Source organism: Homo sapiens, chromosome 9, assembly GCF_000001405.40.
Source record: "Homo sapiens chromosome 9, GRCh38.p14 Primary Assembly".
Taxonomy (NCBI): Eukaryota; Metazoa; Chordata; class Mammalia; order Primates; family Hominidae; genus Homo; species Homo sapiens.
The window spans coordinates 68,516,137-68,532,280 of NC_000009.12; the positions used below are offsets into that span (position 1 = coordinate 68,516,137).

Below are 16,144 nucleotides of genomic sequence, written 5' to 3' on the forward strand. Positions count from 1 at the left end.
CTAGATTTGGGCCTCAGAGCCCAAGACCTTAACTAAGGTCCTTATTATGTGCCATCAAAAAATATGGGGGTGCTCACCCACCTATAAAAAGTAAATTGGAGTAGACCAGCATTCCCATCTTCAATCTGGCATAGTTAACACACCTCAATCCATCCTCTAGGAATGTTCTAGAGGCAGTCCTCAAGCCCCACAATTCCAGACTAGTAGAAGGTGTGGTCTCTCTTTCAGTCCTCCTATTCCCTTTTATGTCCTCAGATCCTTTCCCAAGGGCTAGCCCTTTCTTAGAAGGCTGTACCCTCTGGAAGCTGGAGAATGCCACTGTGCTGCTTGTAACTGGTTACCTCAAGTAGGCTGTGGGGTGGCAGTTAGGCGAAGTACAGAGAGACTGTGAACTCTTCTCCCGGAGAAGCAGCATCACCACCTGGGGTGAACCTCACCATGGGTGGGCCTGAGAGGAGGTAGTGGGGTGGGCCTCCACCATCTGGCCACTGAGGTCCCTGCCTGGGCCTTGGCAGTCCCTCAACATGGGAGGGGGAAGAGCACACACTCTCAGGACTCCACTCAGCCAGGAGTTCTCCTTGCCAAAGTGGGCCTGGGGTCTCAGCCTCTTTGCTTTGTGACGTCCACCACACAGCTGCTTTGCCAGCTCTAGTGTGCTCCTAGGAGGGCTGGGTTGAGTGGAGACAGTTCCTGGATTTCATGTTTATATAGTTCTGTTTTTTTGTTTTGTTTTGTTTTTTGTTTTTTGTTTTGAGACAGAGTTTCGCTCTTGTTGCCCAGGCTGGAGTGCAATGGCGCGGTCTCGGCTCACTGCAACCTCCGCCTCCTGGGTTCAAACAATTCTCCTGCCTCAGCTTCCTGAGAAGCCGGGACTACAGGCATGCACCACCACGCCCGGCTAATTTTTTGTCTTTTTTTTTTTTTTTAAATAGAGACGGGGTTTCTCCATATTGGTCAGACTGGCCTCAAATTCCCGACTTCAGGTGATCTGCCCGCCTCGGCCTACCAAAATGCTGGGATTACAGGCCTGAGCCACTGCGCCTAGCCTAGTTCTGTGTTGTAGTCATGAGCAGTTGAGTCCATGCTGAGAGTTTGCATCTCAGGGCATAGGCATAATAGGGGACGGGGAGGACTGCAGTACCTTTACTCCCCAAATGGTTGCTGGGCTCTTACGCAAATCTGCCAGCCCTCCGCAGTAGTCTTCAAGGCCCTCATAATACAAAAATCTCTATTTCAGAAAAAGAGAAAATTTAAATTAGAATGCCCCAGATTCCTGGATATGTAACTATCCAGGTAAAATTTATACTTATTAATATTAAAATTATTTCACTGCCTCTAGTGTACTATTGCTTGTTCAGTGGTAGCAAATTCAGTCACCCACCAACACAGGCAGTAAGTCCTAGATTGGGGCCAATTTAAGACAATAGAGCATGGTGGGCACTCTGGTGATGCTCAGCTGTCTTTAATTATTGCATTGTTAATATGTGAGCTCAAGGTTGCCAGGTTTTCTGATTTTAAAAGGAGCAAGATATCTGGACTTTCAAATGAAATTTGATTTTTAAATATTGGCAGGAAAATGATTACAAAACAACACAAATCCCATATGAAGGACTTCTAACTTTTAGTAGTGGTGGACTAGGTGATTCAAACTAACCTTCCCTCTGTAAAGAGCTGAAAGAAATATATTAAAGCATCTTATTAAAAGCATGGTTGACCAATGACCTAATAAAACAGTAACAAGAACAGGAAAAGGGTTGGCACTCAGGAAAATGAGCCAAAGCTCTTTCTGTCCTAGGGAATTTGTCCATCTAGGAGAGGTACTAAAGAAGAGGTGCTTTTGATGACTGGCACAGGGTAAAGGTGACCGGCATCAGGTCCAGGTGGAGGAGGATCTGGTCTATTACAGTCTGCCTCTGCTAACCAGGAGACTAACCAAAGAGGCAGCAAAGAGGCAGACCTGTGTGGCATTTTCGTGTGGCCAAAAGAAATATGGTTAGTTAAGTACACATCAAAGGCAGAGATCCTGGCTTAACAATCCCTGCTCTAGGGTGTAAACTTGAAGAAGACCATTCCAAAGGTGGTATACAGACTGTACTCCAGAGGATTATAAATCCATGGCTCTGATCTTCTGGCTCCCTGAGGAGTCTCATGAAAGGAAATGAAGGAAACTAACAATATTCTAGGTCTCCAGTTATTTCTATAAGCAATTTTTCAAACAAAATGGGCACCAAACAATAAAAGATTATAAAGCACTTGGATACACAAAGCAACACATACCAGAATCAACAGAAACAACATACCACAGAAAAAGATCTATAGATACTGGAATTTATTCAATACACACTGTAAAATAGTTATTTTCACTATGTTCATGGAAATAAAGCACTGAATGTAAAAACATCAGCAAATAACTGAAAACTATAAAAATACACCAAGATGTTGAAATTAAAGAGCTGAGAAAGATAACCAAAATTAAGAACATAAATGGATTTAACAGCAGCTGAAGAATATCAGTGAACTTAAAATATTTCAGAAGAAACTATGCATCTGATTTTTCAGTTTAGTCCTTATGATTTGCAGAACAAAGAATATAAGATTGCTGCCTTTGGAAGATGAAAGATCATATTCGGAAAAATACAGAATAGAGGGTAAGAGACACAAAGGATACAGTGAGAAGTGCTAACATAATTTAGTTGGAGTCTCAAAAGAGGAGACAGAAACTTGGGTATAGGCAACACTGGAAAAAATGATAGGTGAAGATTTCCCAGAACCAATGAAGGAGGTCAGCCCACTGATTCTAGAAAGCCAAGCAGGATATATAAAAATAAATTCACATCTAGACACATCAGGCTAAAATTGCAGAAAATCAAAGGCAAAGAATAGTTTGATTGACAACTAATTTTTCTTTATCAACACTAAAAATAAGGAGACTGATGGCTTAGAACTCTTAATCTAGTGAAACTTTCCTTCTAAAATGAAAGCGAAATAAACACATCTTCAGATAAACAAAAGCTGAGAGAGTATCTACACAAAAAGAAATTCTCAAGGATATTCTTCAGGAAGAAGGAAAATTATCCCAGATAGATATTTGGAATAAAATGCAGCAAGGAATAAAAGAAATGTTAAAAATAGGAGTTGGTATAAATGAACATTGGCTGTATAAAATATTAATAATTGCTGAAATATGTATATTAATTAATATGGAGAATTAAATTATACAACCACAGTAACTAAACACCATGAGCATAATTGTAGTTAAGGTAAGATCCTTGAATATATTGGAAGAAAATAAAGGTATAGATAAATACTAGACTTTGATAGGTCAAGGATTCATGTTGTAGTTTCTAGGTAACGATTAAAAAAAATAGAAGGAAATTACATAACTTCTTAAGAGAGGAAAACATAGGAACTTTAAAAAATTGAGAAAGAAAAACAGCTAGGTCAATTTCATCCATGTATACATATGTAACTAACCTGCACAATGTGCACATGTACCCTAAAACTTAAAGTATAATAAAAAAAAATTAAAAAAAAAAAGAAAAACAGCTAGGTCAAGTAAAAAGCACATAAGGTGGTGGATTTAAACTTGAATTTACTGGTTATTACTTTAAATATAAGTGAACTAACTGCTGTAGGAAAAAGACAATGTAATGGTGATTCATACCTGTAATCCCAGCACTTTCAGAGGCCAAGGTGGTAGGATTGCTTAAGCCTGGGAGTTTGAGACCAGCCTGGGCAACATAAGGAGACCTTGTCTTTACAATAAATAAATAAATAAATAAATAAATAAATAAATAAATAAAATTAGCCAGGTGTGATGGTGTGCACTTGTAGTCCTAGCTAATTGGGAGGCTGAGGTGAGAGGATTGCTCAAGCCTGGGAAATTGATGATGCAGTCAGCCATGATCATACCACTGCGCTCCAGCTTGAGTGACAGAGTGAGACCCTGTCTCAAAAAAAAAAAAAAGACAACTATAAGCTCGTTATAAAAAATACATCTTTTATACATAAAAATACAGAAAATTTGAAAGTTAAAAGACGGAAAAAGATATACAAATGATAACCTAAAACTAGCTCTATTATTTCAGATAAAATAGACTTTAAGGTCAAAAGCATTGCTAAAGATAAAGAGAGACTCTTCAAACTGATAAAAGAGTTAAATCCCCCAGGAAGACACAGTAGTTTTAAATTTATAAAGAAAAAAAAAAGAGGGAGAGAGAGATGAAAATGTAAGAAGAAAATAAATCCACAGTTGCCCTTGAGTATTTTAGCACCCCTCTCAGTAATTATTAGAATAAGTATACAATTAGTAAAGAACATAGAATATTTAAACAACTTAGTTAACACACCTGACTTAATAGGCACATATAGATATTACACCACGCAACATCAACTCAACGTGTAAATTCTTTTCATGCCACAGGGGACACGTATAAAAATTACCTATATGCTGAGGAATGAAAGAATACAGAGTATTATAAGGGCAACTGAATTCGAAAATGAAAACAAAATTGACACAAAAAAAGCTTTTGATAAAATGTATCATCTCTTCATGATAAAAATTCTGTGAATAGGAATCAAAGGGAAGTCCTTTAATATCATAAAACGGTATTGCTAAAGAAAAAACCTGGACGTAGGCTATATGTGCTGACAGTATGCTAACAAGGGAGAACGACTTGATGGGTTCATTTAGAACTCAAATAGGCTTTGTCTTCAGAAGGACAAGCATCAGTTTTACATATAATTAGAGTATGTTAAATTGTTTGCATTTCCCTGTGATTGTTATATTTAATAATCCTTAAAAAGGTAATTTTCAAATAGTGTGCCTAGAAACAGGGAAACTTTTGGCATTAAGACAAATATATTTATAAACTTTCAGAAAATGAAAACTTTTCCCTCAGTATAAGGGCAGTCTAGATAGTGAGATACAGCCTAGCTTTGAGGTTAAAAATCACAGTACTGAGTAGGTTCAGAGCTCAGCTTTGCCACTTGATTGCCATGTGACTGCACAAGTTATGTAATGAGTCCAAGCCTCAGTTTCCTCATCTGTAAAATGAGAATAATACCACCTACCTCATAGACTGTTTAGAGATTAATTCAATACATGAATTTGGAATAGCACTTGGCACATTTTGGGTACTCAGTGCCAGCTATTACAAAATTACTAAAGAATCAAAACTTAGAATCCAAGGCACAAAGTATATAAAATGGCAGTGAGGACTGAGAACACTGATCGTGGCTTCCGAAGTCTTTTGGAGAAGAAAGGGAGGAAAAGGAGGAAAATGGAGAATGGAGAGAGTCCTTTGAGTAACAAACTGGAGAGGCAAAGGTCCTTTTGTTTTTTTAACCTCGGTTTCAATCTTGAAGTTTTATTTCTGCTAACCATTTGGTAAAGGCAGAGGAGATCCTAATTTCCCTTTGACCTAGCAAGTGTATTCCATGTGAAAGAAACCTGGAAGCCTAGTGTGGATATACCCAATGAAGAGAAATGTGAAGACATGTGAGGGACATTTGGGAGGGATGGGGATCTGAACCAATTAGTAATTCCCCATCCTTTTACAATGTTTTGGTGGCAGAAGGTGAGGGGAGAGGTGGATAGAAAGAAAGAAGAGAGGAACAGGGAAACCATGGCCAGGGAAACAGTCCTAACAATTTAAACTGACAACTCTTGCAGGTAGGTTTGTAGTATTCAGCAGCACAGTGAAAGGGCTCAGAGATTGTGCCTAAAGCCTCTCAGCTGCTCCTACAGACAGCGGCCAGTGCTCTTGCTCTCTCCCCTTCTCCATCCACACAGGGCATGGAGCCAATTAGAGCTCACATTTGAATAAGAATATCGGGCCTGGCACAGTGGCTCACACCTGTAATCCCAGCACTTTGGGAGGCCAAGACAGGTGGATCACCTGAGGTCTGGAGTTCAAGGCCGGCCTGGCCCACATGGAGAAATCCTGTCTTTACTAAAAATACAAAAATTAGGTGGGTGTGGTGGTGTGCACCTGTAATCCCAGCTACTCAGGAGGCTGGGGCAGTAGAATTGCTTGAACCCAAGAGGCAAAAGTTGCAGTGAGCCATCTGAGCCTTTTATATCAGGGGCTCACATGAACAAGTCTCTTGTAAAAAGAAGCTCTCTCTGATGAAACTGAGAACAGATAGCAGACTCACGCAAGCTCCGGATGGTGGGGCAGTGTGTTAAGGAAACAATGGGGATGAGAATGAGGAAGTAGATGGGGAGAAATAGAATCAGAGGGTTTGGCAACTGCTTGGATGTACAGGAAAGGGAGAAGGACCCACCAACAAGTACTTCCAGCTGAGCAGATTGAGAGTTCAGAGGGACCTGCTCCTAGCAGGAAAGAGAAGGTGGAACCATGGACTGGCGTAGCGAGGAAGTTAATTTTGGTTTGCAAGATGTTACATTTCATATTTTGGGTTTGTTGGTGGTAGAATACTGGACCATGATGGTACCTCCAAACAATCTAAGAGAAACACATTTTGAGTGTTTATCTTATTAATTGTGATTTTATTTTAATTTGCTTAAAATTTTTGATTTTAATACGCAAAGAGACCAAAGTTAGCTCAAGAAAGTCAAGAGTAGGGTCTGTCACATGTCCAAATCTCAGAGACTAGACCTGGAGTATGGTTACCACCTCAGGCCTTCCTATTGGGAGGTAATGGATCTTTAGAGATAATTGGGAGTCATGCCATTGTTTTCTCTCTACCAACTCCTTTATTATTTCCTTCTGCTCTCTTTAATTCTTCTCCTGGTTTCACCCTGCTTTCTTATAATTTTTTGTCACCTTTCTCAGAGTCTCTGCTTTCTCATAATCCAGGATTACCATGGAGTCTTATGCCCTCATGGTTAATTAATTATAACCTCGTGATTTAGTTCCCACTACTAACTGTCCGTTCTTTCATTACTTACAGTTCAAATCCCCGAGGCAAATAATCTGCTAGGCTAGGTGAAGTTTTTGCCCCAGGCTCTATTGTAGGTTGCTAGCCAGCCTCTCTATTGGCTGCCTGTAGGTCAGACAGCCACTTCTGGTCCAATCAGCTGCAGCCAGGGAGTGGGATCATGTGATGCAAACAATGCAGCCTGGGTTTGGGCTGGAGCAAAGCATTTGACAGGCACAATAATTAGAGTACCTTAGAGCAGTGGTCCTCAGAGTGTGGCTCCTGGACCAACAGCATCCTGGGAAGCTGTTGGAAATGTCAGTTCTTGGGCCCCAACCCAGACCCCTTGAATCAGACACTCAGGATGAGGGGTGCTGCAGTCTCCACTTTAACAGACCCACCAGGGGATACTGGTGCATGTTCAAGTTCAAGAACCACTCCCTTAGACTATGCAAAAGCATATTGACTAAAAATGAATGTTTGCATGAAATCTGGAGAGAAAGCCTGGCATTCAGGTTTAGCAGGTTTTAAACAAAGTGGGAGTGTTGTTAGTTGATCCTAGGGATCAGGAGAAAGTAGCATTTGTTATAAATCTCTATTTTATGGATGCCAGAATGTCAGTGTTTTCTGTTGTTGGATGACCTACCTGCATTTCTGGTTTGTATTGCCTGCCCCGAAAGATGAACTATGGTAATTATCGTCATCCACACCTATTCACTCTCCACCCATGGCTCCAATCCTTCCCCGACTGTACAAATGCACATTCCTCATAGAGACCAGCCCAGCACTAGGTTCCCTCCACAGATTCTGACAAATCTTGCTTGATAAGTGATTATGATTCTGGTTAGGGTATTGTTTTCCTCCGAAAAATCAGTTAACTATTTACTTTGAGTCTTGTGACATTCAGATCATTTACATCCTTCCTGTCTATTGCTTGTCCCAGAGTAAGAAGTTCAGTTTGTTAGGGTTGTTTTTTTTTTAATGGATCTAATTTACATGAAAGTGGATTATAACAATGACATAAAGCAAAAGAGAAGATGGGAGAGAAAGTAAAAAGAGAAACTCTGTCTTTCCAGGGAGTATGGACAAGTTAAAACCTAATCTAGGATTTATGTGGGCTAGGATTAATGTGAGGTTAACTGGGTGCAAAATTTAAGTGGGTGTGGATGCCAAAATACTCAGTAATCAAGATAAATATCGTAGTGCAATTTTTAAAAAATCAAAATCAATGTCCAAAAAATTCATGATAAACATAGTGTCAAAACTTTAAATAGAGAGAGGATCCAATACCCCCTGTAGCCTGTCTACATTAATGGACAGCAAACATCCAGAAAACCCTGCAAGGTGGCAGAAGATGCCATCTTGAAAGGATGCAAGGCCTGCTTGGTTTGGAGCAAGATAAGCGTTCACTGCTTCCTACTGTTGACTGTAGAAGAAATATGTTAGGCACTCTAAAAAACACTGGAATTAGAAAAAACAATGCTATACTCTAACATAATTGATTAAAGTCTCCATTAATTTATTTCCTTTATTCACAAAGGGTTATTTTGGAGTTTCCAGGACATTCACATAACCCACATAACTGAGAACACCTCTTCTCCCACTGTCTGCCTGGTTTTGGTCAGGGAGGAAGACTGGTCAGTCCTACCCAACTCCTCATCTGATGTGGGACTCATCTGGTCCAATAGGGTTGCAATCCCATGATTTCCCTGCTCCTCCCCATTCAGTGCATTTTGTCTTTCTCTCTTTATCCTTGTCACTCTCAGATCTTATATGCAGAACTGTATGATGGAAAATGCAGTAGAGGAGCCCACTGTATGTTCTTATCCCAGCTCAGCCACCAAACAGATGTGTGACCGTGGGTCAATCCTGTGTCGCACTGGGCTTTAGTGTCTTCATCTGTGCCATGAAGAAATCAAATGACACCAATCCACATTCCTCTCTGCTTTTGAAATTCTGTGCTTCCAGCTCCATGTTAGAAAACTCACATCCACAGTTCATAACCCCTCTTTTTGCTCCTCATTCCAACTGCCTCTCCAATTGCCCCAGGAAAATTAACTCCCACCCACCATGAGGCATGGTCGATGACATGAGAGAAGAGTTTGGGGTTTACGTGTATCAGAGGAGTGATTTCTAAAGAAAAACATGAGTAAAAACCCGGCACTGTTGACCCTCCCACATGCACACAATGTCCTCCAGGAATGCCCACAGGAGTCTCTATTTGCCTTATCATCTTTTCATCAAATATATCATTCATTTACTCCACAAAGATGTATTGAGTATCTCCTAAGCAGTAGATACTTTCCTTAGCCCTGAATAAGACAAAGTTTCTGCCCTCATCATGTGGCCACTCATTCTAGCACATATATACTGTCATGCACGGCGTAGTGATATCTCTGTCAACAACAGACCACATATTCCATGGTGGCCCCATAGGATTGGAATGGAGCATGTATAGAAACCTGCTACATGGCACTTGATATTGATGTTGCGAATCAACTAGGGGAAATGATTGATATTTAGTGATGGTGCTGGGACATTTGGTTTCCCATATGAAAAACAATATATAAATAAAAAGATATATACCATCTAGGTTTGTGTAAGTACACTCTATAATGTTTGCACAAGGATGAAATTGCCTAACGATGCATTTCTCAGAATGTATCCCCATCATTAAGTGATACATGACTGTTTAATTTATACACTCAGGGAAGAAAAAATATATTAGTTTATTAGCCTTAAAAATGGGAGCTTGCCGGGCGTGGTGGCTCACGCCTATTATCCCAGCACTTTGGGAGGCCGAGGCGGGCAAATCACGAGGTCAGGAGATCAAGACCGTCCTGGCTAACACTGTGAAACCTCATCTCTACTAAAAATACAAAAAATTATCCGAGCATGGTGGCAGGCACCTGTAGTCCCAGCTACTCAGGAGGCTGAGACAGGAGAATGGCGTGAACCCGGGAGGCGGAGCTTGCAGTGAGCCAAGATCGCGCCACTGCACTCCAGCCTGGGCGACAGAGTGAGACTCCTTCTCAAAAAAAAAAAAGAAAGAAAGAAAAAAAAGGAGCTTAACTTGAAGTTTCCTTTCCAGAAAGCTGGCAAAAAATTCAATCTTGGGTATTTTTAGGGACTTCTTCCCAGGCCTTCCTGGGGTCATACAAAATCTAAAGAAGTTCTGTGGTTCCTGGAAAATGGCTGAAAAGACTGAACATCAGTGAGGTGGTCTTCTTCCCAAACACTCATATTTCCCGGAAGGCAGATGACTCCATGGCATCTGTGCCGGATTAGCCCAGGCTCTTGGCTCAGGATGGGAGTCCTCATATTTAGGAGTTTCCTCATGTGGCATTTTCTTCCCTTCAGCTTGCATAAGCACCACGGAAGCCCTCTTCTCTGACATGAACAGAAGAAGGGACAAGTGCTTGGTTGATGAATCCAGAAACAGAGTTAAGTAGGTCCACTATACACATAGATATCCTATTACATTTGTATCATAAAACATATAAATGTACATGCATTTGCCAGTATTTTGATTTTGGCCCAAGACCTGTTCTTTAATATGAGCATACTGTTTGCCATTGTGATCCTCTTTCTTCAAAAGATTCCCACTCATAATTCATCATCTATAATATCTGTCTTTGATTCCTTTATATTACAGCGGGAACTTAAGGACAATTGTGAAGCAACCTGAAAAAATAATTCTTCTATAATTTTAAAATTTCTCCCTAATATTTTGTAGTATCTCACCCACATCTAATTTGACAGGATTAGCTAATCACCATTATCTGTTCTTTCCAAAACACTCAACTTAATTTTCATAGAAAAAAAGTCTTCTTATTTGCATTCACGTTTCATTGGTTTACATATAATTAAATTGCATAGTCTCAATAATTAGTACAATAGGCATTAACATATTGGGAACAAACTTAACTGACTCCTGATAAACACAGAACTCAACTGCTGAAGGGAGAAGTAGGTGAGCATATTAGAAAGTGATCTTTTGGTCACGGACATCTAGTGAGCTACGGACGTGAGTCAGGATGTTTTACTGAAGAAGTGGAAAGCACGCGTTAGTTTGTAGAGTTAAGTGGAGATCAGAAAAGAGAACTTCTCTGGTGTTTACAGTATTTGTTAAAACTTGCTTCCCCGCCCTTTTGCCAATAGGTACCACCACTTAAAGATGTGGAGTCAAAAAATCTTGAAATTTACAATGATGTAAAACTGAATATGTTTTAATCCTTTAGTTCCGTAAGGTTCAAATTCATTTTCATTGCATTTTCTTAAAATAATAGGATAGTATATGTTTATCTTTATTCACCCTCTAAAACCTCAGCTAAAGTGATTGAGTTTAACTTCACTCTCTTTTTCTGTCTGAGTTTAACTTCTTTGATAGGTGTTAATGAAGAATTACATAACCAAAAAGGGGGAGCAGGAAAGAGGGAAGAGAAGACAGGAAGAGGAGCAAAAACTAATAATTGAATTTCTGTACAAAATGGGCACTTTGCTCCTAAAGAATAGAGATCCCTCTATCTTGGCATCACATGGGATATGTCCTGGCAAAATGTGCCAGTGTAAAATGTTTCTGGGCACCAACAGGGTTATTAAGAGGAAAAGAATCCCTTCTGTTTTTACGAATCAAGATGATCAACACGGAACCGGAGGAAAGTGCCACTTTCTTGTGTTCTAGATTTTCATTTTTCTTCCAGCTTCCAGGAGTCTATGTGAGCTTGTCCATCTAGCCATCTTCATAGAGTAAGATAATTTAATACATGTAACCATAAATTGCTGCCAGATCAATATTTCCAAAGCACAGCTGTGATGTCACCTTTCAGCCCAAAACACTTCAATGCCTCCCCTTGCCTAATGAATTAAAACCTTACACCTCACTCTAGCATTTAGGTCCCTCCCAACAAGACTGGCTCACATCTCTCAGGATTCTTCTGTATCTACATGCCACTCAGGACACAATGGATTGCTTGTGATGTCTTGTACCTTGTGCATTTCCTTGTGTTCCTGTTGTGTGGATTGGAATGTGTGCACTCCCTTTATGCATGGGAATAGGTTAGGGCCCACAAGGAACTGAATTCCTCTCCCCCTCCCAAAATGCAAGCCTTCTTTTCCTGAATTACAGAATTTTTGTTTCTTCCATTATCCTAATATTACCCAAACTTCTTTTCTATCAGTATCTCTATATTAATAGGTGTCTTTATTTTTTATTTTATTTTTATTTTTTCTTTTTAGAGACAGGCAGGGTCTCACTTTGTCACCCAGGTTGGAATGCAGTTATGCAATCATAGTTCACTGTAACCTTGAACTTCTGGGCTCAAGCCATCCTCCCATCTCAGCCTACCGAGTAGCTAGGACTATAGGCACACACCACTGCACTCAGCTAATTCTTATTTTTTGTAGAGATGCGGTCTATGTTGTTCAGGCTGGTATTAAACTCCTGGCTCAAGTGATCCTCTGCCTCAGCCTTCCAAAATATTGGGATTACAGGCATGAGCCACCACGCGTGGCCAATATTTGTCTTTAAATTGACTCACTTTGTTTTTACCTCAATCTACTTATTTATTATAAAAGTACTCTACATGGAAAAAACAATACCACTTGATAAATATAAGCACATCATGAACATGAATTCAATAAAAACATTCAGTGACATTACATTCTAGCTGGGTAACTCCTGAGGCATGCACTATCTTGGTTAAATTGTTAAAGATTGGCAGCAAACAGAGTTTCTCCTTGATGAAATCAGAAGGATTGAAGAACGGAAAATAGACTGATTTTCTCACTGTTTTATTAGCAATACCATATCCATGCACCACTGAAAATCATTGTGAGTGTTGCATGCTCCACACCTCGGAAAACAATGCCTCAATCCCATGAAACAATAAGAAAGAAATGAGTCTTCCTCCTTCTCATGTCCTTCAACTTCCCAAGAACCTATTCCTTAGGCTTCTAAAGCATGCCCACCTCCTCCAGAAAACCCACTGAGGTGCCTCATAAGCCCAGTGTTACGTAATGGGAAGGCATGATCAGTCATTTCTGCAACGTTGGCCAATGAATTGGTCTGTCATTTCAGAAACATCAGGATTGTGGGTTCTTTAAATCCATGGCCCTAGGATGAAGAATGAGCTTTTATTCTCGTGTGTGTGTGTGTGTGTGTGTGTGTGTGTGTGTGTGTGTGTGTGTGGTGAGGATGAGGGTGTAGCAGCAGAAGACTGGAGTTTTTCTGAACTCCCTTAATTCACAATGCTGTCTTCATACAGTGCTCTCATGTTTGGTAGTTGGGTTGTACATTTTCCTATTATAGATAAATTTCTTTTGAAGCTGGTTAAGACTTTGGAGATCACCTTCTCCCCCTACTCTCCTGCCCTGCCCATTCCAACTACCATTGGTGGAGGAGGAAGCAAATGTCCTGCTCATGAAGACTGCCTGTAAACAGTGAATTGGAATCTGAGTCCAGATGCTTATGGTAGAAATCCATCAGAATGCCCCAAAATGTAACTGACTTGAGTTGTTCACAGACTTTCCTTTTCCTTTTGCAGGCAGTGCTGAGCCCTCTCATAGCCATCGCACTGAAAATATCCCAGATTCATGAGAGAACTGGCCGGAGGGGACCCACTGTCATCACCTGAATAGAGGAAAGATCACTCACCAGGGCCAAAGAGAGTGCTCAGCGGGAGATGCTTCACTGATGCCTTCTTGCTACCTGTTTGTGCCTCTTATGACTTTGGAAAAACAAAAGATATTTTGCTTTTGGGGGATAGAGGGTGGGTGGGAAAAGAAAAAAAATCCATTTGGTTTTGGTTTTGTCCTATTCCTCCAAATGCAGCAGGGCCTTTAGTTGTCTGTTAAAGCTGCACTATAATTTGGTATCTACATTTTATCACACAAAGGAACCTCCCCTTTTGACAACAACTGGGCTAGGCAGCTGTTAATCACAACATTTGTGCATCACTTGTGCCAAGTGAGAAAATGTTCTAAAATCACAAGAGAGAACAGTGCCAGAATGAAACTGACCCTAAGTCCCAGGTGCCCCTGGGCAGGCAGAAGGAGACACTCCCAGCATGGAGGAGGGTTTATCTTTTCATCCTAGGTCAGGTCTACAATGGGGGAAGGTTTTATTATAGAACTCCCAACAGCCCACCTCACTCCTGCCACCCACCCGATGGCCCTGCCTCCCCCATCCCATCCCCAACATCCCTGTACCACCTTCTCTCACATCTTCTAAAGCTTTGTACAAATCACAATGGTGCACTTCCAACAAAATATATCAATAGGTGTTTTCCTCTCTTATTTTGTAAATAGTATTATTTTAGCTATTAAGCTGGATACCTTCTTTCAAATTCAGCCATTCAGTTGTAAAGTTGGGAAGAAGTTTCTTGACAAGACTCTGCAATTAAATGCTTAAAATTTGGAGGGGATCCTTCCTTGATTACATCAAGTATGTTGGTACATGGGTTTATACAAGTTCCTCTTGAGAAGGCAAAAAGACCACCATGTGTGAGAGCTCTTTGACTTGGCCAATAGGGGCCTATCTTAATGCACTTGTTTGGACACATTTCTGATCTTATTTGTAAAGGCTGCAAAAGGAGAGGATGAAATGCTGTAAAAGTAGGAAATGAAGTGGAAGCTGGAAGAAAATGTAATTGGTGGTACAGCTATGGGCCAGATGGTGGAGGGGAGGGTGGGGACCCCTGCCGGCAAGCAGAGTGTCACAGCTGGCTTTCCTCACTTGGGAAAAGGGTACTGCCGGTCTAGCAGCCTCCTCTGTACTCAGCCAGGACACCCAGCGCGTGGGACCTGTTTGTGTCTGTTTTGCTTCCTTGGGAACGGCACAGTCACTCACCCTGCCATTTGCGGAAATGACCTGGTGCACTTTGACTGTTAAGCAATGCGTTATTGCTGTAGTCAAGGTTAGTGCAAGCAAGGAAACATTCCCAGTAAGGTATTTGTTTCCATTTTCTGTCTGTGCTTCTGTCAGAAACTTGCTAGGACATTTAGTGGCCAATAAAAAAGAAATTCCTAATTTCAACCTTATCCAAGGATTGTGGGTTTTTACTTATTTGTTTGTCTCACCAGTTGAGAAACTCCAGTACTGGTCACCTATCCTGATAAATCTGCCTTTCAGAAAACCTGCAAGGGCTGTTTTTCACTATTATGGCAAGAGACATGTATTAAATGGAACAGAAAAGGTAAGTTACTCAAAACTGCCTTTGGGAGTCAGCAGAAACTGAAATGGCATCTAGACCTCCACTGTAACTGTCTTCATTTCAAAATAATAGGAAGGTGGCTTTGAGCTGAGATTCTAAAACAAAACCATTTCAAGATTGATCACCAGTGGAATCAAATTCATGTCATAGCTTTGGTTCTCAGGTTCTTGTCTCAAGAGTGGACATCTATGCTAGCCATCCATGTGTTCATTAATCACGGATGTCTTGGTTGGGACGCTCAGATGTATTCTTAGGTGTATCAGCTCTAGGTAAGAAAATATTTATTTTCTCAAGTTGCTGAACTTTTAATGATCTCTAACTTGTAAGTTCATATGTAAATTAGTCCTTACATAAAAATTATATTTCTTTATTTTGATATGGAGTCATGCGTGGACAGTAGCCCAAATATATATTTAGCCATCAGTCCATCCATTCATCCATCTATGTGTTCATTCATTCATTCTGTGGACATTGGTTGAGCAACTCCTCTAGGCAGAGTTCTGTTTTAGATGGGGCAAAGAAATGGATAAAACATTATTCCTGATCTTATAAGTTTATAATTTGGGAGTAGGAGGCTATGACAAACATACACAAATAATCAGTTAGACAAAAATGTTATGAGAGACACAAATAATGTGCTGTGGGACTACACAGAGAGGGGCAATAGACTCAGAGACGGTGGCACGAGAGTGGTTTCCACAAGAGTAGAGTTGCTTGGGATTTGTAAGCATTTACAGAATTTCATCAAGGATGAGTGAAGTCAGAAGACAGACTAGGAGATGAGGGTTAGGATGGCTGGAGAGGAGACTTGCTTGGGGTCTCCTGAGGAGTTGGCTTGGATGCATGGGGTTGAAGCAGGCACAGGGTTGTGAATGTCAGGCAGAGCAAAGCCTTGGGCCCAGCCACCGGAAGAAGCAGCTACATAGCTGCCTATTTTGACAGAGTTTTTTCAGCTATGTTGTCAAGGGAAGGTCTTTTGGTGGGTCTAGGACACAGTCATTCTCTGGAACCTGCTCTGATTCACATTGCCAAGATATTATTTCTGC

The 16,144-nt window shown here is 40.7% G+C and overlaps 1 protein-coding gene across 2 annotated transcripts in view; it reads left to right on the forward strand.

Annotated features, from left to right (window-relative positions):
* Positions 1-14,925, forward strand: part of PGM5 (phosphoglucomutase 5) — a 174,451-nt gene extending 159,526 nt beyond the window's left edge. For both annotated transcript variants that reach the window (NM_021965.4, XM_047423473.1), the window contains exon 11: positions 13,431-14,925. In NM_021965.4, coding sequence (NP_068800.2) covers positions 13,431-13,520 — 90 coding nt within the window. In that variant the 3' untranslated portion in view covers positions 13,521-14,925. The remainder of the gene's footprint in view (positions 1-13,430) is intronic.
* The last annotated feature ends 1,219 nt before the right edge of the window (positions 14,926-16,144 follow it).